Source organism: Homo sapiens, chromosome 2 (genome assembly GCF_000001405.40).
Source record: "Homo sapiens chromosome 2, GRCh38.p14 Primary Assembly".
Classification (NCBI taxonomy): Eukaryota; Metazoa; Chordata; class Mammalia; order Primates; family Hominidae; genus Homo; species Homo sapiens.
In genome coordinates, this window is record NC_000002.12 from 177,658,565 (window position 1) to 177,686,117 (window position 27,553).

General features: G+C 39.4%; 1 protein-coding gene and 1 long non-coding RNA gene across 5 annotated transcripts in view, besides 2 other annotated features; one reads left to right on the top strand and one right to left on the bottom strand.

Moving 5' to 3' along the window:
* Positions 1 to 27,553, bottom strand: part of PDE11A (phosphodiesterase 11A) — a 485,096-nt gene that overhangs the window by 35,321 nt on the left and 422,222 nt on the right. For all 4 annotated transcript variants that reach the window (NM_001077197.2, NM_016953.4, NM_001077358.2 and 1 more), the window contains 4 exons: positions 22,262 to 22,339; positions 16,891 to 16,954; positions 10,929 to 11,003; positions 5,302 to 5,385 (listed from right to left, as the gene is read on the bottom strand). In NM_001077197.2, coding sequence (NP_001070665.1) covers positions 5,302 to 5,385; positions 10,929 to 11,003; positions 16,891 to 16,954; positions 22,262 to 22,339 — 301 coding nt within the window. The remainder of the gene's footprint in view (positions 1 to 5,301; positions 5,386 to 10,928; positions 11,004 to 16,890; positions 16,955 to 22,261; positions 22,340 to 27,553) is intronic.
* Positions 924 to 1,568: an enhancer, noted in NCBI's record as "OCT4-NANOG hESC enhancer chr2:178524216-178524860 (GRCh37/hg19 assembly coordinates)". NCBI's record gives its function as "activates a minimal SCP1, AML or CMV promoter by ChIP-STARR-seq in naive H9 embryonic stem cells {active_cell/tissue: H9 hESC(naive)}" and the evidence as "EXISTENCE:reporter gene assay evidence [ECO:0000049][PMID:30033119]".
* Positions 4,231 to 4,733: an enhancer, noted in NCBI's record as "NANOG hESC enhancer chr2:178527523-178528025 (GRCh37/hg19 assembly coordinates)". NCBI's record gives its function as "activates a minimal SCP1, AML or CMV promoter by ChIP-STARR-seq in naive H9 embryonic stem cells {active_cell/tissue: H9 hESC(naive)}" and the evidence as "EXISTENCE:reporter gene assay evidence [ECO:0000049][PMID:30033119]".
* The window catches only part of PDE11A-AS1 (PDE11A antisense RNA 1), a 49,968-nt gene continuing 37,172 nt past the window's right edge, over positions 14,758 to 27,553 (top strand). The window contains exon 1 of the long non-coding RNA NR_136171.1: positions 14,758 to 14,861. This is a non-coding gene — a long non-coding RNA (PDE11A antisense RNA 1). The remainder of the gene's footprint in view (positions 14,862 to 27,553) is intronic.

Here is a 27,553-nt window from a genome sequence, read left to right on the forward strand (position 1 = left end):
TATTTTTTGAGTTATGTATGATGCCATTCCATATATATACCCCCTTTGTAAGGACAAGTAAGAAACTAGACCCAACTATCTCTTCCTTTCATCCACAAGAATACTAAAAGTCATAGAGAAACACTTATAGGAAACTAACTGATTTGAGTGGTGTCTTTTTTTTTTTTTTTAATATCTGATGAAGTTGTTTTTAGGGAACACTGGATTGCTTTTAAAGTACTTTCATCAGTATCCAGAGAAAGTGTCCTGGAGTAGCACCTTATATCCTCTTTTCTAGTTTGTCAGTTTCTAACTCCCATTCTACTATTTCAACTATATTTTAAAGTTTTTTCTCCCTTTTTTCCAGAGAACCTATTAATATTGCATCATGTGGAATGTATTTTTCAAAATGACCATTAAAAGTGAAGGCAGAGGCTGGGCATGGTGGCTCACACCTATAATCCCAGCACTTTGGGAGGCTGAGGCCTGTGGATCACTTGAGGTCAGGAGTTCAAGACCAGCCTGGCCAACATGGTGAAACCCCATCTCTACGAAAAATACAAAAAAATTAGCCAGGTGTGGTGGTGCATGCCTGTAATCTCTGCTACTCAGGAGGCTAAGGCAGGAGAATCGCTTGAACCTGGGAGGTGGAAGTTGCAGTGAGGCGAGATCAAGCCATTGCACTCCAGCCTGGGCAACAAGAGCAAAATTCTATCTCAGGGGGAAAAAAAAAAAAAAAAAAAAAGTGAAGGCAGAGAAAAAAATCAAAGTTTACTGTAAATCTTAACATTAGCAGCCCTGCCTGCTTCAGAAACCTCATGACATTTTAATAGAGAGGCACTACCCTTACCAAAATTTTCCTACTCTTAATGGAAAGAGAAAATTATTCTGGCTAGATGCTGGCCAGGTCACATCCTTTTGCATTATCTGTGAGAAAATATCCACTCCAAAATCAAAAGCCAGTTTGGGATGAGCTAAAAATCAGATTACATTCATAATAAAAATGGAATCTCTCAGTTCTTAACAAACAAAAGATTTATAATGACTCTGCACCACTGACATTCTAGGTACACTGAGATTTGGTTAAGTTGAGAATGAAAATAAGGAGCCAGAACTTAGCTTGCTATTGCAGACAAAAGCTCAAAATGATACTGTGACATGAGGGTTTCTGTTTATCCCTAAGGCTGGTGTGGCAATTTCAAAGTTTGATTGTGTCTTTTTTTCTTCCTTCTTCTTCTTTTTTTTTTTCCCCCTCCAAAGACGTTGAGCAGCAGGGCTAATGGATCCCCAGCAGGGTGCAAAGACAGCAGAAAGTGCAGGAATCAGATGTCAATGTATTCCTTCGAGATACCCTGCTAGGACACAGCTAACTAACCAGGGCTTGAGTCTTCTCTTGGGGAATGTGCTTTGATGGTTCCCTGCCCACTCTTGGCTTCCTGATTAAAAGGCTGTCACCCATAAATCACGACTTCATCCTGTTACAATCATTTTCTTTCTTTCTTTCTTTCTTTCTTTCTTTCTTTCTTTCTTTCTTTCTTTCTTTCTTTCTTTCTTTCTCTCTCTCTCTCTTTCTTTCTTTCTTTCTTTCATTCCTTCTCTCTCTTTCTTTCTTCTCTCTCTCTCTCTCCTTCTCTGTCTCTCTCTCTTTAAGGAAAAGTCTGAAGATTAAAAAGAGAGCAAGTTCCAGAGAACTCTATGCTCACATATAAACATATGGATATAAGCCTGGCCTACATCCTTATTAGATAGCTATTCATCGATTTGGGACTGTTCTGTGCATGTGTCCTACCCACCTGGCATGTTGGGAGAGCTAAATCAATACCACAATGACATGCTGTCTTTCTCCACTTGAGATAGAACCAGTCAGCCTCTCTCGTTGACAATATATATGGTAAAGAGGGCCTGCACATCGTTTTTTTCTGTTTTATTTAAATATTTTTATATATTTTCTGTCTGTCGCTTTCTGTCAATCTCAAGATTACTTAGATAACTTCCTAGTGAATAGATTTTGGAGGAGGAGGAGTTCCTCATTGTTTTCCCTCAATGTAGTAAAAAATTGAGTGGAACTTGAAGCTATCAGAGATAAGAGTTTCGATTTTAAATGCACTGGGCATCCAAAATATACCGGTGCAGGTGCCAATTAGGCACATAAATAAGTAGCCCTTCAGGCACTGAGAGTAGTGATAATCTTCCCCTTTGCTTGGAGAAGAGCTAAACTCAGCAAACAGGAACACAAACAGAAAGTGCTTTATCTATTTGATATTTGACAAGCACAACCCTTTTAAAACCATGAAGTAAAACTGAACTACCCAGTGAAAGTCAATGAAGTCAAAAAGCTGTACCAAAACCATATGCATATGTACTGCCCAGCAGCCTGGCCACCCGCCCCTGCCAAACTCGCTGTTCTGTCCCACTGCTGTACTCAAGAGCCTCCAGCCGTGGGGTGCCCTGGGTCAACTCCCACCCTCTGTAGACTCCAACTCTCCAACCTCCTCCACCTGCAGGAAGATCCCAGCTCTCTCTATGAGAGTGCTTGCCTTGGGCTCTACATGAAGGTTCTTGCCACCCAACCTTGCCCTACCTTGGGGTCAGGCCTTAGCTGTTAGAGGGGACATGCTTTGTCTCATGTGTACTCCTCGGTATTCTTTTGCCATATGCCTAGACCAACATGGTAAAGCAAAGCTGAATTCTTATGCTGTATTTCAGACCAATCACATCAGGGATTCCTGCCACCTGCACACTTCCCACTTGCCTTCGATCCTCTCAGACTCCTTATGATTGCATTTTTATGTTCAAAACCCCAAACTTGACTTTCACTGAGTTATCTCAGTGAATGGTGTCACATCAGTGACCTTCCTGGCTCGTCACTTCCTCAAGGTGTTGTGTCTTCCTACAAATGGTGATTCCTGCCCACTGACTGATTCAATTTCATTTCGGAAGCACCAACAGTTAATGTGAGATTATCCAGTTAAATAGTGGAGGGAAGGGAGAACACTGCATGAGATCAAATAAAATAAAATAGGACCCTCAGAGAGGATACTTAAACTCACCCTACAAAGTTTCAGTTGAGGGCTCTTAAAATGATTGGTTTCAAAGCCTTGTATAAAACTTACAAATGAAATAATGAGATCTTTTTTTACTTAGTGATGACAAGGAATCAAAAAGAGCAAGATTTTCACCCCCTGTTAAATGAAAAGATACAGCAGCAAGTATGAATATGAGCTTCTGTAAATAGCTCCTTCCATATTCCCTTTCAGCATGACACATCTCTCCCCAGTTAGTTAAATAATAAAAAAATGGTGCAAGAAATTTCCATCAGAGGTGAAGTAGGGCATTAGAAAGGTCACTACACCAAAACAAAGGTCAGGGGTGAGCAGGACACAACTCTAATTTGGTGGGAGCATCACTTAATCTTTCTATATGTTAATTTCCTGAAGCTGAAAATAGCAGATGTATCTAACCGACAGATAAGTAGTAAAGTAAAACAGATGTGAAAAATCAGGACGATATATAATGTGAAGGGATAATATTACTCCCTAAATTCTAGAAACTGCTATTTCCACTTAAATTCAAGTAACTTCCTTTGTAACCTAAAGATTTCAAAGCATTTAATAGGAAGCATAAGATAAGCCCTAAAGGATTGTCAATCAGTAATAAAACAAATTAACATGGAAAACCATATGAGGATCCTTTACAGCCTTTCCTATAACCAACACATAGGAAGAGTGTGTAGACTTTGAGTTCACTCCAAAATAGCTTTGCAAACTAGTACCAAAACTTAATCAGCTTCCCACCCCAATACATATCTTCATCCTCCTAAGCTTTACCCAAAGTAAAAGGAATGTAGTAATTGCATGAATAATTTCTTCATCCCATTTATTGCCTAAGTGTGCACACAAAACTGAATAACATTAAAAAGTAATTCAACATGTATAGTCAAGGTCAGTTTTGCAAAGCAAGATACACCTGACCCAAAAGTTGTTGAGCTTTGCACATGGGGGACTGCTTATTCGGAGACACTGAGGATGGGAGGAGCAGACAGGAAGAAAAAAGAGTTGAGGATCCCCTTAAAATAAAGTATACATCATTTTCTATTTTGTTTGCCCAATCTTCCATTATTAAATAAAAGAACATTATGTTCCTTTTATAACTAAAATAAGCAGTTGTAGATTATTTTAAAACTTTACCTGATTTTATGGTATCATGTATTTAATGGCTAATATAAAACAAAAATGAATTTATTTTTGTTATAGTTATCAAAAATTACATATCCATCTTCAAGACAGTATTCTAAGTTTGTTTGTTTTCAGAGTTCTGTGACAGGGCTCAGCAGTTCCTAAAAGTGCTGAAAACAAAGTGGTAGATGATCTTGAACTTGATGGTTGTGAGGTCCTTAAAAAACAATACTGCGTTTTTAATGGGGTTACATAGGGTGAGGAACTAAAGAGCTTTTGCTTTCCCTGCATGTTTCTCACTTTGAAGTTAGGAAAGCAGCTCAGTCTGACTGAGCTAGGTTGTGGGTAAAGAACTTGCCAGGTTTTTACAAATGAAAGCAAATGCTTAGAAGTAGAATTAAAAGCCAATGTACAATAAACTGTTAGTGTTAACTGATGCCAGCCCTGATCCGCACTCAAAAAGTGCAGTGTGAACCATTCAAAGCGACACTTTTCTCCTTTCAGAAGGAGAGGCCTACACACCAAGTAGCAGAGCTGGAAACATTAGCACATCTCGCTCAGAATTCACTGGTTGGGATTTGTCTCATGCATCTCAGAGACAGGCAGATTTTGAAGCTGGAAGGTGCGTCACAAAACCCCCTGTATCAGACCATGGGGTCAGAGCCGAACACCATGTTTCATGGAATCCTCATTCCCACATTATATTAATAAAGAAAATTTGTAAAAAAAAAAAATTTCCATGGTCAAATATGTTTGAGAAATTGAGCTGATCAAGTTTAAACGTTTCTTGGGCCTGTGAGCTTTTTTTGAACAGATAGCTATTAGATGATGGCTGGATGTTCATGTTCTATGGGACACAGTTTGAGAGATAGTAAATAAAATATTAGTATCCCTGGTTTACAGATGAGGGAGTAGAGGCCCATGGAGATTATATCCTAGAAAGTGGAGAACGCAGGTCTGCAGCCTCCTAGAACCAACTCTTCCCAGCCAGGGCACAGTCAGAAATCCAAGAAAGACAAACTGCAGCCAGAGCTCTCCGCAATGTGCATACCCTGGAAATGTCTCCTCAAATGAGTGCTTTTGAGAAATACACACTTTTCCTTTTCTGATTCAGTCAGAACATGTAGGCCCTCCCAAATCAAAGTACCTGATACAAAGGCATGCAGATGCTATCAATCCACTCCAGTTGCAACCGAGGCAGTTCATCCTTCCGGTTCCGATCAAAAATTGCCTAGAATGGGGGGCAGGAAGAACCTCGCTTTATTACACCAAAGTATTTTACAGGGTGCTTTGTCAAACACTTTGCTAGAATGATCCATTTTTTTTACAAACTGAACCCTTCGCAAATCACAATCAATCTTTACACATACTTTCTTTTCCTTTATCTATGATGAGAAATAAAATGTTTTTACCTCTTTTTATGAGATTTGTAAGCAAATTTACTTGAACTTTCTAGCGTGCAACTTCTTGGGGCAAAAACCTGTCTTCAAATATAAGTAACTGCTACTAAATCAAGTCATCAGGTCACTGCGAATTGGGTACAGGTCAAGGGGAAAGGAATATGTTTTACTGCCACAAAAATAATGCAGGCTTTTATTTCTGCATTATGAGAGGTTGGGATAGAATAGGACAAATCGGAAAATATCCTTAAAAGCAATTTTATTGTAAATAGAAACCATTTATACTAATTTTTCTGGGTAGGGGTTGATTTGGCAATTGCATATGTTTTTCAGTAAGGTTCTGTCATTAATAAATTTTTAAATATTTATTTATCATTGTATGGATGATGGTGGGTGGACTCATTATCTCTTCATTCCCAGCCCTTAAGCTTTATGATGATATAATGTTTGAGATAATTTAGGTATATTTTTGGGAAAAATAAATGACATTTTTCTGTTGGGCAGACTTAAGGGAAACAATCAATTGGAATTTTAGTGTTAAAATTAATTCACTGAACAAACACTGCCAATTCTGTGCCAGTGAGACTGTCTCTCCCTTTGTTCTTAAGGAGTCAGGCCCAGACCAGAGAAGCTCCCTTGTGCCCTTACTTATCTAGAAGACTGGGCTATCTAGTTATAACTTGCCCTCCCTTAATGTTATATAGTAAGTTTTATCTTTCCTTTACATAAAATGTGGCATTCACATTATTTTGGTGTCCTTATAGGCCATGAGGGTGGAGCCAAGCAATCCCTTTGGTCCAGAGATGTAGGAAAATCCTGCATCGTTCAGATGTATGAACAAGAGTGGGAGTGGGTGGGGCAGAAATCACTAGCTGCCAAATCTGAGGAAAATATCTCCAAATTGGGGAGAAGGTCACTGATTCCACCAGGCTTTTCTCATCCTTGTCTTGCAATGGAAGATGGGAAATAGCAGGAAAGAAGACTGGAATTTGGAGAAAATTGTGAAAATGTGCTGGAGAGAGGGATAGTTCTTGTGAATAATATGAGTCTTGATCCAAAATGTTTCTTTAGAGCTGGCTGCGGTGGCTCATGCATGTAATCCTAGCACTTTGAGAGGTTGGGGCAGGAGGATCACTTGAGCCCAAGAGTTCAAGACCAGCCTGGACAACAGAGTGAAGCCCCTGTCCCTACAAAAAAAAAAAAAAAAAAAAATTAGCCAACTGTGGTGGCACACACTTGTCGTCTCAGCTACTCAGGAGGCTGAGGTGAAAGGATTGCTTAAGCCCAAGATGTCGAGGCTGTATTGAGCTACAATCATGTCGTTGCATTCCAGCCTAGGTGACAGAGTGAGACTCAGTCTCAAAAAAAAAATAATAATAATAAATAAATAAAATAAAATAAAATAAAAATAAAGAAATAAATACACAAAATGTTTCTTTAAAAAATATTATTCTGGGCTGGGTGTGGTGGCTTATGTCTGTAATTCCAGCACTTTTTGAAGCCAAGGAGGGAGGATCACTTGAGATCAGGAGTTTGAGACCAGCCTGGCCAACATGGCGAAACCCTGTTTCTACTAAAAATGCAAAAAATTAGCTGGGTGTGGTGGTGGGCACCTGTAATCTCAGCTACCTGGGAGGCTAAGGCAGGAGAATAACTTGAACCTGGGAGGCAGAGGTTGCAGTGAGCCAAAATTGTGCCACTGCACTCCAGCCTCGGCGACAGAGCAAGACTCCATCTCAAAAAAAAAAAAAAAAAAATTATGTTTTCTTTTCTCTATAGTTCTGTCTAAAATTTTCATATTTATTTAATTATTCCATTTCTAGTGGATATTATAAAGTTACTTTTTTAAAAAATGCAGTGGTTTTTAGTATATTTACAAAGTTGAGCAACTATCACTACAATTATAGAACATTATTATCATCCTCAAAGAAACCCCATACTATTAGCAGTCATTCTCGCTTTTTTTCCGCACTCCCAGCCTTAGGCAACCACTAATCTACTTTCTCTATCTATGGATTTGCTTATCTTGCACATTTCATATAAATGCAATCTTATGATATGTGGTCTTTTGTGACTTGGCCTCTTTCACTGTTTTCAAGGTTTACCCATGTAGCATGCATCAGCACTTCATTCATTTTTATTGCCAAATAATATTTCATTGTATAGATGTCTTATTTATTTGTTCATCAGTTGATTGACATTTGAGTTGCTTCCAGGATATTATGAATAATAGCTGTGAACATTCACATACAGTTTTTATGTGGATGTATGTTTTCATTTCTCTTGGGGATATACCTAGAGGTAGAATTTCTAAGTCATATGGTAACTCTGTTTAACTTTTTGAGGAATTGACAAACTGTTTTTCAAAACAGCTGCACCATTTTACATTCCTGCTAACAATGTATGAGCTTCCAATTTTTCCACAGCCTCACCCAACACTTGTTATTGTCTGTCTTTTTTGCTATAGCTATCTTAGTGGCTGTGAAGTGATATCTCATTGTGGTTTCAGTTTGCATTTCCCTGATGACTAATGATTTTGAGCATCTTTTCATGTGCTTTGTGGCCATTTACATATTTTCTTTGGAGATATGTCTGTTCAGATCCTTTGCCTATCTTTTAAATTGAGTTATCTTTCTATTGTTCAGTTATAATAGTTCTTTTTATCTTCCAGATACTTGGCCCATAAAAGATATATGATTTGCAAATATTTTCCCATAATATGGGAAAATTTACTTTCTTGATAGTGTCCTTTGATCCATGAAAGTTTTTAATTTTGATAAAGTTCAATTTATTTATTTATTTATTTATTTATTTATTTTGAGAGAGTCTTGCTCTGTCACCTGGGCTGGAGTGCAGTGGCACAACCTGGGCTCACTGCAACCTCTGCCTCCTGGGTTCAAACGGTTTTCCTGCCTCAGCCTCCCAAGTAGCTGGGGTTACAGGTGCTTGCCACCACACCTAATTTTTGTATTTTTAGTAGAGTAGAAGTTTCACCATGTTGGCCAGGCTGGTCTCGAACTCCTGACCTCAAGTGATCAGGCCGCCTCAGCATCCCAAAGCGCTGGGATTAAAGGCGTGAGCCACCACTCCTGGCTGTTCAATTTAATTTTAATGAAGCTCAATTCAACATCTCTGGACCAACATCTCTGGGTCATTTTGTCTTTTGTCTCCTGTGCTTTTGGTTTCATATTTAAGACACCATGGCTAACCCCTATCCAGAAGATTTATACCTATATTTTCTTCTAAGAATTTTATAGTTTTAGCCCTTACATTTAGGTGTATGATCCATTTTGAGTTTATTTCAGGGTATGCTGAGAGGTAGGGAGCCAACTTCATTCTTTTGCCTGTGGATATGCAGTTGTCCTTGAACCATTGTTGAAAAGACATTATCTTGGCACCCATGCTGCAGATTAGTTGACCATAATTTTAGGGGATTTATTATTGTACTAGTCACTTCTTAATCAATGCTTGATGAGAAAAAAAATGAGTGTGAGGCCCCACACAGTCCTGTGCTTCACAGCATTTTGCATCTCATAAAATAAGTATTAGTAATCATTTATTTCATGTCTATATTTCCCACCAGTTGACAAGATCCTTGAGGGCAGGGAAGATGGTGTCTTACTCATTGCTGGAAACAAGGTGCCTTGCTTCATGCCCGACACATGGAGGCACTCAGGCAGGCTTTCCTAACTGACTCACTGCTTCCAATCCTGACCCTCTGGCTGTGGGCCAGATTAGCCTTTGTCTCCATGAAGTGACTCCCATGACTCCTGGGACCATGATACCTGAGGGGGCTCCAGGACAGTTTTCCTCCTAAATATCAAGGGATAATGGGCACAGCAGCTGTCAGCTCTGGGTGCATGCATTTACAGATATTTCTGGAAAAGAACTGAGGGCTAACCCTGCCACATCAGCCAGGCCTCCCCTGAGGAGATGGTCATCAGTGGTGCTCCGTAGTCTTTGTGAGAAGACAGGAGCATTTAGAGCTATGTTTCTACCGCAAAATTAATTTCATTTATGTCTACAGAAAATGCCTTACCTGAGCCTACAGATAAAGGCTCCTTAGTGCTGCGCTACTGCACCCACCAGCTCACCAGTGCTGGCAATTTACTCATATTTTTTTCATTTAATTAAATGACCTGTGGTATTGCTGCATTGTAAACCCTTCAGAGTATGCCTCTGAAACAGTTTTTAAAGGGGGAAAAGCTTTTATTTGAAAGTAGATATGACAGAATTTGGGTCATACTAGGTTTTATACATTAACTGTATGTATCCCAAGCTAATATTTTTATTTTTATAACCAAATTTGATGACACCACCAAAAAAGGGATGTTTTGAGAAACTAAGTCAATGTTGCTTTGAAAACTCAAATAATTGTTGTGTGTGTTTCAACCTATGTAGCCTCCTGATCTTTTGTACATAAGCAACCAATTAAGAATATTCAAAATTAGCAAGACTGTGCGTTCTGACTTCAAGCAGATGAAACTATTCAAACTAGGAGCTAGTTCTCTTGCTTTTCCTTGTTTTTAAATGTCAGCAAAGAAGGATGTCTTAAAACTTGAAGACCTTATAAATACCTCCAAATGTTCAAGCTCAGTTAATTTGGGTTCTCATAAACAGACATTCTTGACAATTGATACCTTCCTTGAGTATCACTAAATCTACTGTGCTATGCTAGGCTTTAAAATGCTTTGCACCACTCTCAGAGTCATTGGGTTATATGTTTTTAGCTAATCATTGGTTAGTAATAAAGAGGCTGCCCCTCTTGAGGTGGTGACTGACGCAGTTATGTCTTCTGCATCCTTATGCTTAAAAACAGCATCATCTTGAGCGTAAAGTAAACATTCTTAAGTAATAACTGAGCAGATAAGTCCAATATAAATAGCGTTCAAATCACCAGAACCTAGTTCCCCAGGTGAAACTTTTTCATTTTACAGACAAAAGAAACAGAGATTTGAAATGATTTGCTTTTGGGATTTTGAAAGTTGGAAATTGGAAAATAAAATCTAGCTTCTCAAAGCTAGAAAGCCTTCCTTTAATTTTTGATGCACAGTGTTTCTATTCTAAAGTAGGCATACATGAAATGCCAGCACTGGGCTTTGAATTATTCAAACTCCACTTTGCTCATCCTCCCTCGTGCCTACTTGTCCCACTGTGGGTGCGCAGGAAATGCTTGTTAAGTAGCTCACCACTCTTAATCAGAAACTTGGGAATAAGAGTGTTTAGCATTTGAGTTTAATTAAGGTTTTAAACTTTCAGGAGTGCTTCCTTAAACCCATTTTCAGTCTTTCCCATTTCCAACTTGTAATTTGGAGTTCTTTTTGAAAATGTCATTCAAAAGGGTAAATACGTTATAATTAAAGGATGAACTCACTGAAGGAGTGAGTTTGAGCTCTAATCTCTCCCGATCTCCTTGTTCGAAGAACTCACTGGTTACAAGTTCTGCCACCTGAAACATATAAATATTTTAATCTGTGATTATGTGTAGTTTATCACGAGACTCAGAAGTTCTTTCTTGCTTATGTATTTGGTGATCCTCATCAACACAATCATTTAAAAAGCTTATGAGGAAGTAAGTATATTAACCTTTCATGTTTGAAGGTGTTATAGAACTTAATGAAACTGATTTCCTTTTAATCAGGACAACTTGTGCAATGTAATTTTAGATGCATGCCAACAGGCAATCTGCCACAGTACGGCTTCCATATTTGGGATGAGGCAACAGGTTGCCAGCTTCAAAGCAGGAAAAGTTCTTATACAGAAAAGTGAAGCAAATATTCATTTAATAATAATGTGTAATTATTATTATATTATGTAATGATAGTTTAGCCACTTTTTATTATTTCTATGTAGATTATTTATTTTGTTGCATACTTTTATGTTAGCCCAGCTTCAATTTGCCACATGAAAACTCCTCAACTCCCTCCCTACCAATATTTGTATGCACTCTGGGAGGGATAACCCCAGGGCACATCCTCTGCTTCCTACTGTTGCAATCAATCAAGAGGCAGGACTAATGCCAGATTCACTGTTCATAGCAGACTTTTACAGTAGGTCACGGTATAGTTTGAAGAGCATGACTTGGTCTTCAGGCTGTCTGGATCTACGCACTAAAAGTGTTAATTTATGGTAGGCTCTACTTGGTACAAGGACAATGGGATGCTTGTTCTACCTGAAACCTTAAATAGAGACTTATATTTTTCTACTTTTAATCCATTAGCTTGGATGGTCAGCAGCTACTGATTATTGCCAAGCTAAACAGATTTTTTTTTTTCTTTTCCACACCTTCACTTCTCAGGATAGTGTGTGGGAAGCAAATTGATATGACAGATTAAATGTTGAATGGCTATTTTCAACGCTACTACAGTGTGCATCTAGGACATTTCTGAGATGAACTAGCTGGATTTAAAAAAATATTGGAAGAGTAGAATAAATCCCAGACAACTTCATGGTAAGAGGGCATGGATACCAAACAAATTTTTCTCTATTCCAAGTTCTTATGAAGATAAGGTTCTTAAATCTGGCAAAGATGAGACAGTTTAATTTTGGTCAAGTGCACAGTATCAAGATAATTTAACTCCGTTGATCTCTCAAGAGATTTGCTCAATCACAGATTATAGATAAAACTGAAACACAATGCTAAACTCACACACACACATCTGAGAGTAGCATGTGTGCAGTCACATATAAAGAAATCAAATATCCAGTAAGTTCAGATTTCTATATTTCTGTTAAGAAACATGGGCCCCTTTCAAGATCAACCACAAAAAACTAGTTGGAACTGACTGAAAAATCCCCTTCACCCCAGCCTCTTGTATATGTGCCTGTTTTCTAGGACTCAATTCACTTGTCTCCTCTCCAGTCTCTCCTGCTACCCTGCATTTCAGCACACCAGGCTTCTCTCTTCTTTCTCTGGCCTTCCTTTGAAGAGGAAATGGTCCCCTAAGGGTATGACCTCATTTATTCAGTTCCCAGAACTCTCCCTCAGATTGCTCTAAGCTAGGTCTTTTGCATTAAAGAATGTAAATGTGCACATCAGGCGCCTCAAGGTGGGAGTCCTGCATAGGTCTGTAGCCCCTGGAAAGAAAAGAAATTAAAACAAAATTCTGTCGTTGCTCTTTCTCAAGTACTTGTTGGTATCTCCCCTGTGCTCCTTTCACAGCTTAACTTGCACAACTGCTTTGTTGGTACTTAAAAACCCAATCAGGAACATTAAGTGGTTACTGATTGAATTTTTTATTAAAGAAGGAAATTGAGATGCTAATCAGGCCTTGGGGGAATCACTGGGGAAACCCACATGCTTAGAGTCTTGTTGCAGGAAGGGAAAGTGGAATAGACCCCAGCAGAAAACATTCTGAAAGGGAATTTTAAAAAATCAACATCCAGGAAGTTAGAGAAATATTTTTTAAAGAAGGGCCTATTGTTTTCTCCAAATGTTTCCTAAAATTTTGAAGTGAGCATTAAAAAAAAAAAAATTTAACCCATCAATTTGGAGACAAACAAGAATGAGATTGCTAGCTTAGAACTGTGACAAGCTTTCCGATGGAAACATTAGGAAAAACACGGTTTTGTGTTTTATTTCCCTGAGCTCTTATGTTTCTGCACTTTTCAACAGAAACTCACATCCAGAAAATAAAATAATATTTACACTAGTGACCGAGAAGACCACCTACAAGCAGCTACTGGGCCTCCCAAGTCGGCCTAAAATATCAAGGCAGAAATTTTTTTCCTTGCAAGTACTTTGCCCTGTCACTTTCCTGTTCCCTGGGGCTACTGCTCCTTGAGTCCTTGACATGCGTTTCACTGTGGTTTCTGAAGGTGCTGGCACATCATACCTCACCCCATTCCCTTTCTGCTCTTCTCTAGTTTTCTCTCAGTCCTCCTAACTTCCTCACACTCTCCACCTCCTTCCATCCCTATTACAGGAGCCTCCCCCAGTACTACACTTTTTCCCAATACCTGGAAGAGCCTCCTACCTCTTCCCTGCAGTCTACTCACCAACTCTCCCAGAAGGGAGGCCTTCCCACATGGGAAAGGGGAGGGGGTAAGATGAACAGTGGGCAGAGATGTGGAAAGAAGCTAGTCAACCACACAAATTCTTCACAATTATCCTGCTTTATGTGACTTTTTGTAACTTCAAATATGTCACACTGAAATTTAAACCAAAGCACAATTGGTGAAATACTCTATTGGAAAACTGCCTGATGTACATTGGACAGTGTGAGCAAGAAATAAACCTTTATTTGTGTTGAACAACTGGAATTTAAGAATATACTTGTTACTGAACCAAGGCCTAGCCTAGCCTTGACTAATACAAAAATTGGTACGGAAGTGAGGTGCTGCTGTTAGAAAAGAAGAGAAAGACAGAAAAAGACCCTAAAATATGTGTCATCAGCTTGGGGGCCAGGTATCAAGATAGTGAGGAGGCTATAAGGATGAGAATCCATGGCAAAATAATTTGTACAATTATAACTAAAAGCTAACAATGTTCTGAATAAACTTACAGTCTTCGGAGATGAGATTAGAAAACAAAATGTTAGTAGCATGTGATGATTGCCATTGACTGTTTTGCGAGGAATTACAGGAAGTGAGTTAGAAAAGGAGGAACAGGCTTATAACCAGGAATGAAAGGAAATGGAAATAGTCGCAAATTCAGGGACTTGTAGGGATGGAAGATAAAATTGCTTCTCAATTCCAAACTATGAAAATGAAAATTGCGATACACTTTGACGAAGTTTGATTAGGACTCAGCTTTGTAACAAGAATCAAATAAAAGACATCTAGAGTTAGAATCTGAATGAATTAGGTAGTTTGCAGCATATCCTTCTAGCTGGACAAAAATGGCTCGATTAAATGATTTACCTATATGGTTCTCTCACTGAAGCCTGTTAGGCCCAAGGCACTAGGAATTAAGTCAGAAGAGAGAAAGAAATAAATATATTTGCCACATTTCTTTATTCCTAAATGTAAAGAAGCAAATAAATACAGAAAATCTAAGATGTTTGTATGGAATGTGGATGTGGTTATGGGCAAATGGAAAGGACTTGAATCAAAAACATAAAAAGCTGACTAAACGTACAAGAGAGTTTTGGTGCCAAAGAAACGCTAAGCCCATGATTACACAAAACAAGTGTTGGGACTTCAACCTTCTTTAGGTGAGAAGAAGGCAGTTTGACCTTCAGATAAAGCTAAGAAGGGTGATGGGAAAGGAATAATTTCCCAGGGAGGATTGAAAGGTCAAGGGAAAAAGGAACCAGAGAACATCTCCCAGAGAATCAGGGTCCCCTGCATGGTAGAACACCTCACAGTGAGTACCCAGTGGGATTTTGGAGTTGCCATGGACCACTCACCACTCCACATTGCTATGAATATCGCTCATCTCTTCCCTTTCCGAATGGGAGTCTTTGGGTGCATGTTGGACTCTGTATTTTGGGTGTGTGTAGGTCTTTAATCTGCATCCAGATCTGTTGTAGAGACTAGCATGTATCTCCCAGAGATCCTGGACTTAAGAGTTTGATGCCGTGACTGATGGGACATTTGGGTTGTCTTTCTTGGAGGAAGGATGGGTATATTTTGTCTGCTGGAGGGAGAATGAATCACATTTTTGGTGATGAGAAGGGTAAACTCTGGTAGTCATGCATTCACTATTTCTGGCTTTCTCCTTTCTGAGCAAATAGAAGGATGGTACTTCCTGGTTGGGTGGGGTCATGTGACAAGTTCTGGCTGATGAATTGTTGCGGGAAGCATTTAATTGCCAGTGCAAGACCTTCCAGGGCCTCTGTCAGAATGATCTAGGTAGTGGCTGTTCCTTCAGCCCCAATACAGAATAAGGACAAAGTGGCGCCTGCCAACCCTAGGTGCCCATGTTCGTGAGCAATTTGTTGTTTAAAGCCACTAAGATCTTGGGTAAAATGATAACATAGCCTATTCTGTGGATACGCTTGCATCATTTAAAAATGCTGACTGATGCATCATGTGAAGGAACCCATAACACACTGCTAAGAATGAAAGCTTTGGAGCCTAATCTGCTAGAATCTATACCTAGCTCTGCCACCTACAAGCTGTTTAAACTCAGGCTGCTTATCCTTTCTAAGCCTCATTTTTCCCATTTGTGAAATGGGGATAATAACCATATTAGTTTCCTAAGGCTGCTGTAAATTACCATAAAGTTAGTGGCCAAAACGACAGGAGTGTATTCTGTCATAGTTCTGGAGGCCGGGAGTTCTACATCAGTTCACTGGGCAGAAATTGAGGTGTCAGCAGGGATGTGCTCCCTCTGGAGGCTCTTGGACAGAATTCGTTCCTTGCCTCTTCCAGTTTTCCTTTGCTCACGGCTGCATCACTGCAATCTCTGCCTTGTCTTCACATTGCCTTCTTCTGAGTGTGTAATTTCCCCCTGCTCCCTCTTATAAGGACATTTGTTATTGGATTTAGGGCACACCTGGATAATCTAGGATCAGTCTGCAGCTGAGATGCTTAATCACATTTGCAAAGATACTCTTTCCTTTCACGGTAATGTTTACAGGTTCCAGAGATTAGGACCTGATATCTTTGGGTGGCCATTATTCAGCTGACTACAATTTTAAGGATTAAATGAGATAGTATATATAAAGCAGTCAATAAATATTAGTTATTTATTGATATGGAAATGCATCTTATTTTCCCTAAAACGTCAAGTCTTTAGATGCCAAGTTACTGTTCTGGACCCCACACAGTAGGTGCATCATAAAACGCACATAACGATTAACCTCTAAATACCATCAGTAATCCCTGGTCTTCAGTTGGGTAGTTACTTAAATTGAAAACTATTCTTATAGAACTAATGCTTTATGGCAGAGAAATCAGATAGGTGGTAAAGGCATGGTTTGTTTTTCTGCAAGTTAAATTGGATACTGCATATTTTGACCACAGAGGTTTCTGATATCTAAATAATATTTAAAAAGAAAAATATAATTTCCTTTTTGCCTCCTTTTATTTTCAGATATTAAAAAAAAAGAAAACAAGACTTTGTACTGAGATGTGATTATCTTGCCAAAAATCCTATCTTTGAAACTCTTGCCTTAATGGTCAATGTATTATTCAGATTTCGCACATTAAAAATATCTTACAGAGTCAGAAATACTATTGCTTAGTGAAAGCACGATAAAAAAAAAAAAAAAGGGCTGTGCAATAAACTGTGTCGTGCCTAAGCCTCCTGCTATTTTTTACACCATGTTAATACTGATGCAAATTGACTAGGGTTTCAGTGCCTGGTAGTCAGGGCTCTGGGAATATTGTGTCCCCCTTACGCCCCCCAGTCCCTCCTCTGCTGAGCCCTGCCATTAATCACCACTTGCCTGTCTGGAGATCTCCCACGGTTTGGTCACGGCTCCAAGGTCACAGGCTGTCATTAACATTGATCTGAAAAACAGAACCAAACAAAACAGCCTGAATAATCTTTTGTTGCATTCCTAAACAAACCCGTCCTAGATACATAAATAAATAAAATAAAATGGAAACGAGGCCAGCTCACATCTTCCTTTCCTCAACAAGGGGCAGCACTGTTTATAGTCCCTGTGTTCAGCATCTCCATCATGTGGCCACGCTGCTTAGGAAGACAAAGCTCTCACACATCCTCTGGTGGCCCTTTTGTTTTGTCTGCAGCAAATCAAGGAAAGCAAAGCACTACTTTCTGTACACCTGAGCTAAGCAAGCTCTGCTTAAAATAATTTATAATGGACAATGTTGTTGGGTTTTTTTAAACTATAAGCAAGAGAATCAGTATATAACACTATATACATGGCTGATGAAACTACTTACCAACTTATCATTGATTGATGGGAACAAAAGAAAACCCACACCAAAGAGGCAAGGCACATGCCACATAAGGGGCTCCTTCATTTTCATCTGCTCTACAGAGCTAAGATTTATGGGCAAGAGCTGTATCATTTCACTCCAGTTTACTACCTGGCTCCAACAATGGTTTATAAGCATTATGAAGAAGAAACATACTCAGCTCCAGCTCTCATTAATTTGGGCACATAAGAAAGCACAGGAATGGTCTGAATCAGAGTTTTGAGGGGCAGGGTTAACCATAATTCATACGGAACCATGGAAACACTGGGAACAATTCAAATTGTAGATAGCTCTGGTGCTTATATATAATTTAATGTGGTGGGAGGAGGAAAAATAAGGCACACTCTGTCCCAAATCTGCTTTCTTTGTGCTGATAACCAGCAGAATGTGATGAAAAGTAACATAGGATTTGAGCTGGGGAACCACATCTTGGCTAACTGCTTTTGGAAGAAAGGGGTATGCAACCAAAGGTCAGAGGGCTGTCCTGATGTCGGTGTTAACATTTCATACCCTGCCAGATCTAATGCCTTGGAAACATGTCTGCTGCCCAGATGGCAGAGCATGCTTAGATGGCAGGGGGGTCCCCCCACAGGAAACCCCTCCAGGGAACAAGGCAGGGTCACAGATAACAATAGGTCATTCAAGGCACAACCAGGTGGCACCGGCATCAGCAGCCCTCTCAACTCGAGCAGCATTGATGAAACCTCTAATTCCAAACATCCCTGTGTTAAGAACTACGCAAAGGGAGACACATCAGTCTATTCATTTTTGACCTTCTGTATCAGGCATTTCTACACTGCTTACTGTGTGTCTGCTTCTGTACTAAGTGCTTTACTAACCAACTGCTAACTAAACTACTAACTAAATGAATCGTCATCACCACCCCAGAGGTAGTTGCTATTATCCTTATTTTACAGATAAGTAAACAGAAGCACACAGAGATTAAGTCATTTTCCCTTCCCAAGGTGAGTAAATGATTCAGGATTCTGTGCCTATCACAAAGCTACCAGATGCCCTCTTACTACACATGGATGCTGACAGTACTGGAGGGGGACAAGACTGGCTAAAGCATTGGATTTCTCAGCATCTCTCCTGCATAGCAAATAATCTCTATGAGGTTGCCTATTTGTATCATAATGTGGATAATTACTTAGGTTCTGTCCAGTTGATAATTTGAAACTTTCTCTTCAAATGCATATTGCCATTAATCAGTTGATCAACAAGTTTATTGAGTATCTGCTAGGTCCTCAGATGATAATTCTAATAGCTACCACTTATTGGGAAGTCTCCACAGGGTGACTGACTCAGTCTCTATATGTGGTAGTGATACTATTATTATCTCTTATTAAAGTTAAAAAAATAAGGCTCAGAAACGTTAGGTAACTTGCACAAGGTTGTACAGTTATTAAGTGTCAAAGCTGGGATTGGAATCCTTTGTCTGACAGAAGAATCTCTACTTCAATGAATACAGTGGAGCAAGAAGTCCATGCAGAGAAGGGAGACAGGACAGGCTGAGAGGTAGGACGGGTAGAGTGGCTGCAACCTTTGTCCATCTGGCACTGGGGAGTCAACTAAGCCTGGGGACTCAGGAGGGACCTGGATAGACCTTTAGGGAGGAAACTTTAGGTGGTGGATGTGAGGATGGTTTGAAGAAGGAGAGGGTGGAAGGAAGGAGACTCATTGGAGATGTAAATTGATAGGAGCCTAAAACAAGGAAGGGAGAGTGGGAAGGGAGGCACAGGGATGGAAGATTGCAAAGGAAGAACTGAAGAAAACAAATGAGCAGTTCTATGTTATTTTTTAGATTAAGGCTCTTCAAGAAGTGAAAGATCTTTTTGAGAGTAAAAGACCAGGGAGAGAGTTTTTACTAACTGTTTTAGACTGAGGTCCCTATAATTCTAGTTCAGTTTATAGTGAGTTAACATACCTCTCCTCTATATGCCAAAATTATTTCAATAATAATCTTGTGACAATCATTATCTTCTTGATTTGTTCTGTAGTTGTAAAACAATTTAAAATGAACAAATTTTAATGTTAAAGATATATTCAAATTGAGTACAAAGATTTTGTGTAGACTGAAATCTGCACTTGCCTAACAAAAATATGACACTTTGCAGTTTGCACTTATTTCAGTTTTAAATTTTAACCATGAATAAAACCCACGAATGATCACATAAAATGACAGAATGAAAGTATCTCAAGTTGTATGTCTTCATCTTTACCATCACCGTGCTATCATTGTTTGTTCTGAATATAGTCTTTAAAAGCAGGAATATGAGTTCTGCAAGGTTAGAAACACAAACGACACCCAGAGAGTTTGAGAGGTTCTAAATGGTTAGGAACTTACTATTGAAAGTGTATAGCTGCATCTACCTATGTCAAGAGCCAGCTGTATGCCTGGGCATTCTTAGAATTAACTTACATTACGTGTGCAAAGAAAGGATAAATAATAAACATGTGCTTATTTGAAGCTTTCATATCAATTATTTTTATCTTAACAGTAACCTCAGCAATTGTTTGGAATTTATACCAATAAAAGACATTTCTTAGGAGGTATATCTCACCATTGACTATTTAGAATTGCTGGCACATGGTGGTAATAAAAAGCAGACTGACTTTTAGTTGGTTTTATTACTATTTTAAAATTCTCTACAGATGGTGCTCCCTTAGAGCACCACCCTTGGTGCAAGGTGGTCAGAGTGTAACCATGAAATGGGGGAGGGAGGGCAGATGAGGGGAGAGGGGAGAACCCAGAGCACCTCCATTTTATGTAACATGCTTCCAAATAAGATATTTCTTCCATATGGGGTTCCTTGTCAAAACAGTTTGAAAATCTCTGTAGGAAAATATCTAGGCAGAGAAACTCAGAAATGGCATTTCAGGAAAAGAGCTCAGAAGAGAGGCAAGCCCAAGAAAAGGGCTGGGAGTCATTTGAGAAGAGATAGTAGTGACACTAGAAGGATGCTGAGGAAAAAGAGAAGAGAATAAAAAATACATCCTTGGGGGACAGTTCTGTTTAGTGGATGGTGGGGGGAAGAAGGGCTAGAAAAGACTAAGAAGGAAAGAGTCAGAAATAAAGGAGAGAATCCAGAAGCGTATATGGCTTTGCAGAATCCAAGGCTGTAGAGGGTTTTAAGAAAAGAGAGGCCAACACAATTAGGGGCTATAAAGAGATCAGGAAGCTGAAGAGAACAAAGGTTGTAGCTTTTAATACTTGGAAGGTGACTGTGGTTCAACAGAAGCAGAAATCACATAGTACAGACTTAATTCCTCAGTAAGGAATGGGTAAATACTCTGTGGTATATCTGTATTTTGGAATACTGTGCAACGATAAAAGATGATGAGGTAAAAACATGTAAAGAATTCCAAAGCATGTAGTTGAGTGGAAAACCATGTTCACATTGGTATGTAAATATACAATTTATGTTAAAATAGACAATCAAAATACACACTAAACAGTATTTTTCCTAAGGGTGCATGTGTATGTAAATGCTTTGGAAATGGTCTGGAAAAACACAATACACTAATAACAAAATACAGCTGTGCAACCAGTATGGGAATTGGGGGTTGAGCTCAAAGGAGATCTGGGGGCTTATTAGCAATGTTTGATTTGTTACAGAAAATATATATTCATATAATTACTCATGGCATTAAAAATTATACAAAAAGAAAGAAATTGCCTTGCAAGAAATTAGGAAGTGTGGGAGTAAAGGGAAGGAGAAAACTATGATGGGGTCTGGAGAAAAGGCAGCCTGTAGGGATGACTTTTTGATTGGGGAGGCAGAAGTGTGTTTTTAGGTCTAGAAAGGTCATGATTAATAAAACAGATTTTGAAAATGGAAGCTGAAGGAGCATGATTGATAGAGCCAGGTTGGGGTAAGGGGCGAGGAGGTGGAAGGAATGGAATTAGGGCACCAGTGGAGGGGCTGGTCTTGAAGATGAAAAATGAAGAAAAAGGCCTGTAAAGATAATACAGAGGAATATTAAAGCATAGAGGAAAAAAACTAGAGCCCTCTGGGGAGAGGGCTGCAGGAAGGTGACATGAGGACAGCTACAGAGGGTGGGGCAGGCAGTGGCCTGTGTTCAGAAGATGGTGCCAGAGATTTTATATAGCAGATACGGCAGGACTATGTCAAGGTTTCCGCTTGGGGTAATCCAGTAGTTGCCTGGTTGTGGAGCAGACCCAGTGTGCCCTAACCCTGGCCTCACGAGCTCTCCCAGCAAAACTTAGCAATGTTAGAACAGGGATAAGACAGCAGAAGGTCTGGTTGAGGTGGAGAGAGTAGAAGGATGGGGTATGAGAGAAAGAGGAATAGTGCCCACTCTCTGGAGTGGCTGCAAGAGAGGCTAAAATTTGCCCCATAAACAGAGTGGGTTGCTACTGTCCTTTCTAAACAACTTGGAAGACGTCCCAGGCAAAGGCTAGAACAGACTCCTTATCTCCACCTCCAATATTGTTCTGACTGGTTTTCTATCCGCAATGCCTATTGTCTCTAAAGAAAAGCAAAAGTTACTCCCCACTTCCTTTGTGCTATGTAACTCTGATTTCTAGGATGCAAAAATCCCTTCTCCACCCAACTTGCACCCCCACTTCCCCAGGAAACAGAAGAAATCATGGCTTGCCAAAACTGAACTAATTTGAACTTCATTTTCTAATTTTGATGGCAGATTTTTGAGACAAAAATAAATTATAAGATGAAAAGACATTCTCAGTAATTTCTTTAATTATTCAACTGATCTCTGAATGTTTTGAATGTAAGCTAAGATTTGTTACTTTAAAAATCACTTCTATGCTCTTAGTACTGTCAGAAAATTTATGTGGACTAAATGTCCAAATAATGAAGAAACACATAAACAAGAGCTTTTTCTTACCGAAATATATCACGATGGTTTTTGATGTTCCAATCGTATTCTCCTTTACTGACAAGTTCAAAGAATTCAGTTCTCCTCCTGCAGGAAAATCAAATGAAGAAAGAAAGAAAAAAAAAACTGGAATGAGATTTCCCAGTCTGTGGGGTGACATAAACACATCTATGGGAAAAACATAAGACCACTTGAACCAAGTAACTTAATATTTGAAATCATGAGGCTAAAGCACTATCAAAATAAATCACTTTCTAAAAAATGTTGAGGCTTCAAGGAAAAGCCACAATCATTTCTGAATGTATTTACAACAGAGGAGATTATAGAGCCATAAAACAGAAAACAATGTGGTGCGGCATTTAGGATTATGTGCTGTGAAGCCCTAGTGATACTTACTGAAAGTCAGAGAAAGGAGGCAAGGACAAATAAAAAGTGGGGACAATTCTAGAATGTTCTTTTATCATCCAACAAAGAATTGAGCTGCATGATGATCCAAGATAAGATAAACTCCCTGGTAGTAAATTCAAGATAAATATATTTTTTTCCAGGTTAGAAAATAACTATTTCACCATTTCAGTGCTTAAACGCATAGGCTATGAAGTCTGAAAGTAACGGTGTTTAAACACTCGCTCAGCAACTCGCTTTGGAAAGTTAATTAAATCCTCTGAGTCTCAATTTCTTAATCTCTAACACGGGGGTTTCAGTTGCTAACTCACAGAGTTACTGTGAGGATTAAATGAATGACATGTGGAAAGCATGTAGCATAGTGTCTCAACATTTTAAGTGCTTGACACTATAAACCAAAAATAAAATTCTAAGCCCCCAACCAAATAAATGGCCTTCTGCTCTTGGCCAAGGGCATTCCTAAATTAACCTGAAATGCTAGTACAGGCCATGATGGGAAGTGGGAGTTGGACATGTCTCATTATTCCTTCCTCCCTTTTGGAATTCAGGTACAGCTGACCAGCATTAACATTAAAACAGAGACCTTAAGACTGACAAAGCAGACACTTTGTAGCAATAAGATATCAACATGACAGACAGCAGGCCCTAAAAGAAATCAAAGTATTTTATCCCAAAATATATTTATTTGACATATTTTGAAATGGCCTTGCAAAGCTGTCTCTTTTGGAGAAAATCTACATTCTGTAGAGAATCCCCTTCCCTTTCCAGGTCCTTTTCCTAATCCAGGGGAGAATTAAGTAAGAGCTTGGCACCTTTTAAAGTCTGATAAGAAACATTTACAATTTATTCTGGAAGGCTGCTACCTGGAGGCTTCATCTGCATAACAAAAACATTGGTCTCCACAACCCCTTATCTTAACCCAGACACTCCCTTCTATTGATTCCAGGTCTTTAGATAGACCCTTTCAACTAACTGCCAATCAGGAAATCTTTGAATCCACCTATGACCTGGAAGCCACTCCCCACTTCAAGATGTTCCGCCTTTCCTGACTGAACCAGTACATCATACATGTATTGATTGATGTCTTATGTCTCCCTAAAACATATAAAACCAAGCTGTAGCCCAGCCGCCTTGGGCCTATGTTCTCAGGACTTGCTGAGTCTATGTCACAGGCATGTCCTTAACCTCAGCAAAATAAACTTCTAAATTGATTAAGTCCTGTCACAGACACTTTTTGGTTTACAACTCACACATACACCCATGGAAATCCATTTGGAGATGCGTAGATACGGAAAAGACAAGCAAGGAATATTTTAGTTAGATGATTTTCAGTTTTAGTGAGAAAAGGAAAAAAAGAGGACATCACCATTTTGATTTAAGAATCACTTCCCAAGTTTTCATCCTCTTGGCACTTGCTAATGAGAGAATATTTAAGAGATCCTAACACACCATTTCCCAAAACGCATCTCTCAAAATGCTAGACTTAAGAGGTGCTCCATGTGAAGATGTTCCTGCCAAGTAGGTTTGAGAAATGCTGCCCTTAATATACCTCTCTTGGAGACACCATCTATATTAGCCTTTGAAGTCTCTGAGAAATATGGACGTAGAAAAGCCTGTTTAACCTTATTTCATCACAAAATTCCACATAGTACTGATGTTTCAAAAACTACACTTTGGAAAATACCATCATGACATATAATTTATGGTAGAAATCAGACATATTTGGAAAATACCATCATGACATATAATTTATGGTAGAAATCAGACTAGGATCTCAGAAACTTAGTGCTGACCCTCTGTACTGGGGGACAAAGGACAAGAGGTTGAGAACAACTGGCTCCTCTGTGTCTGGCCTGGGGTGCTTATCACCAACTGACCAACTGTGTGGATTTCTTGCCAATGGGTCAGACTAACTACTAAAATTACTTGAAAGGAGACAGGTCAGGAAGACAAATGTATAGTTCACTTCTGTATTAGAGACACAAAGACAGGTCCTGGATCTATCCTTTCAAGATGATGCAGGTCAAGGCCATACTACATACAGCATGGAAGAATCTCCAAGACAACCTTACGGCAACTGGCGAGATGGCATAACCCAATTACACAGAAGGGCCCAGGAACTCCTTCTACTTTGGGTGGGCAGGTGTATACAGTTCTTTTCTTCATATAACTTTCTTATCTTCTTCACTTGACCCATTCCCTTCTTCATGACCAATGGTCGTGCCTTTTTCATATTACTGAGATAGCCAAGTAAAACGAGCTCCCCGGAGAATCTCCAACCCGCCTGCGCATTGGGAGGATGGGTGAGGCCTCCGGAAGTTTGCGCTGTTTGCAGTAGGGAGGAGCCTGGCCCCTTCTGTTCCTGTGTGGGAACCTGGGATTCAGTCTGTGAGATGGGGGCCTGTTAACAGGAACCTCTCTTGCTTTGCTGAGTCTTTTTCCTTTTTGCCCAATAAATTCCATAACCTCTCACCCTTCAAAGTGTCTGCTTGCCTAATCTTTTCTGGTCGTGTGACAAGAACCCAGTTTATTCTACAACATTACAGTCACTGACTGTGAAGTGAAATAGAAAGGGAAGTGGTGGAGTGGAAAGAGCCCAGGTTTGGACCCACACCGACCTGGCTTAATGCTGACTGTCACTTATTAGCTGTGTGATCTTGGGTGAGTAATTTCACATTGCTGAGCCTTAGTTTCCAGCTTTGTAGTGAGAAATTGAGATAAGGTGCACTAAACATTTGGCCCTGTTAGATACTCAATACCTGAAGCTATGGTTAATTTGTAAACAATATTAATACTATTACTGCCAACAATAATACAAATTGGACTAACTGGACTAATGGAGATCTAACAGTTTGCCCAGTTTTCTCCTCTCACTACATAGAAATTCATCTTTTTTTCAAATTATTATGAAGTCCAACAAGTATTTATTGAACATCTACTCTGTAACAAGTCTTTATTAGGCTTTACGGTCACATGATAATTGGGTGTTACTTTTAAATGTCTCTGAGTTTAGCCAGGGCTACCAACAAATAAATAGGTAATTCCCTCTTTAAATGTAATATTAATGAGAATAATAATATTGGGACTAGAGTGATGTGAGAGAGGCACTCACCTGGGGCACAAAACTGAAGTGGGTGCCAAAAAACTTAGTTATCAAGATAAATATTTTAATGTGATATTTAACAAAATAAAAATAAATGTAAAACATCCATAATGAACACAACAACAAAATTCTAAATAAAGACAAGATCTGAACTTGTACTTGAACCACTCACCTCACTTGCTTCACCCTAGTTCCAGCCCTGATGAGGATGATATTCACTGGGTCTTTACTGTGTTCCTGGCAGACTTAATGGGGTCTGGCACTCACTACTTACATGACTGACCTTGAGTAGGTTACTTAACCTTGCTGGACTTCAGTTTTCTTATTAGTAAAAGAGTTATAGTAATGGGATCTGCCTTGTAGGGTTGATGGGAGGATCAAAGGAAATGATTTATGTAAAACATTTAGCAGATTGCCTGGCAAAATTAGGTTATCAGTAAGGATTAGTTACTGTGATTAAGCTCAGAAGGGTGAGTACCTGGCTCAAGGTTTCACAGATGGTGAGTGGCAGAGCTGGGATACAAACACAGTAGGTTAAAATAACAGCTGCCCCAAGCAGCTAAGATACATCCAGGGTGTCCTTGGAGCACAGAGGAAGGCACTTTGCTTGGCTGGGAGGATCCTGGAGGATTGTGAAAGACTTTCTGAAAGTTTGTCAGCCATCCTCCTTGTCATATGTTCCTGGGTGGCCATTTCAATTCTATGAGTTATTCCAAGAAATCGCTAGAATTAAGCTTCATGAGGACAAAGGCTTGGCCCACTTTTGTTCACTTCTGCCCCTTAATACCTACAACAATGCCTGACATGTAGTAGAAGCTCAATAAATATTTGTTGATGAATGAATGAGAATGATTATCTTAGAAAGCTAATCATTAAACAAACAAACTCTTTAAACACTGGTTTCACCTAGATCCTAATTTTTCTAGGGGCTTCACAGTTGCCATTTGGAGAGAGAGATTGAGGTAAGTAAACAACACAAAATCTATTCAGGAAAAGCCCTGTCAGATTCTTGCAGAGTAGATTCTAACATGAACCAAATGGGCAACATAACAAGTTGTAGAAAGTAAGAACACCATTTCCATCCAATATCTGACTCACCTTCCACTAACGATTGTTATATCTGCCCATAGTATGTTCACTATAGGGAACATAACATCTTTGATGCAGAGTGAAAGCATGTTCCCTGTGTGACTAACTCATTGCAGAAAACAAATCCTTTTTTTCTCTTTTTTTTGTTTTTTTGAGACGGAGTTTCGCTCTTGTTGAGTAGGCTGGAGTGCAATGTCGCGATCTTGGCTCACTGGTTCTGAGGCGCAATCTGCCTCCTGGGTTCTCCTGGGTTCAAGCGATTCTCTGCCTCAGCCTCCCAAGTAGCTGGGATTACAGGCATGCACCACCAGGCCTGGCTAATTTTGTATTTTTAGTAGAGATGGGGTTTCTCCATGTTGGTCAGGCCAGTCTCGAACTCCAGACCTCAGGTCATCCACCTGCCTCGGCCTCCCATAGTGCTGGGATTACAGGTGTGAGCCATCGTGCTGGCCCAAATTCCTTTCTATAAAAAATGCAAATCTATGATATGAAAATCAAACAGCATCATAAGAATAAATTCCCCAATGATAGAAATTTTAACAGCTAGAGTTGCTGGTGTGAAGGTCTTAAATCAACAGAATCAAAATCAGTCATAGACTTCACATCACATTAGCAACACTAGGACAAAAGGGAACATCCAGTATTCCTAGGGAACAGTGAGAGGAGCCTTTTCATTGGGTATATCAAAACGTAGCATGCTAATT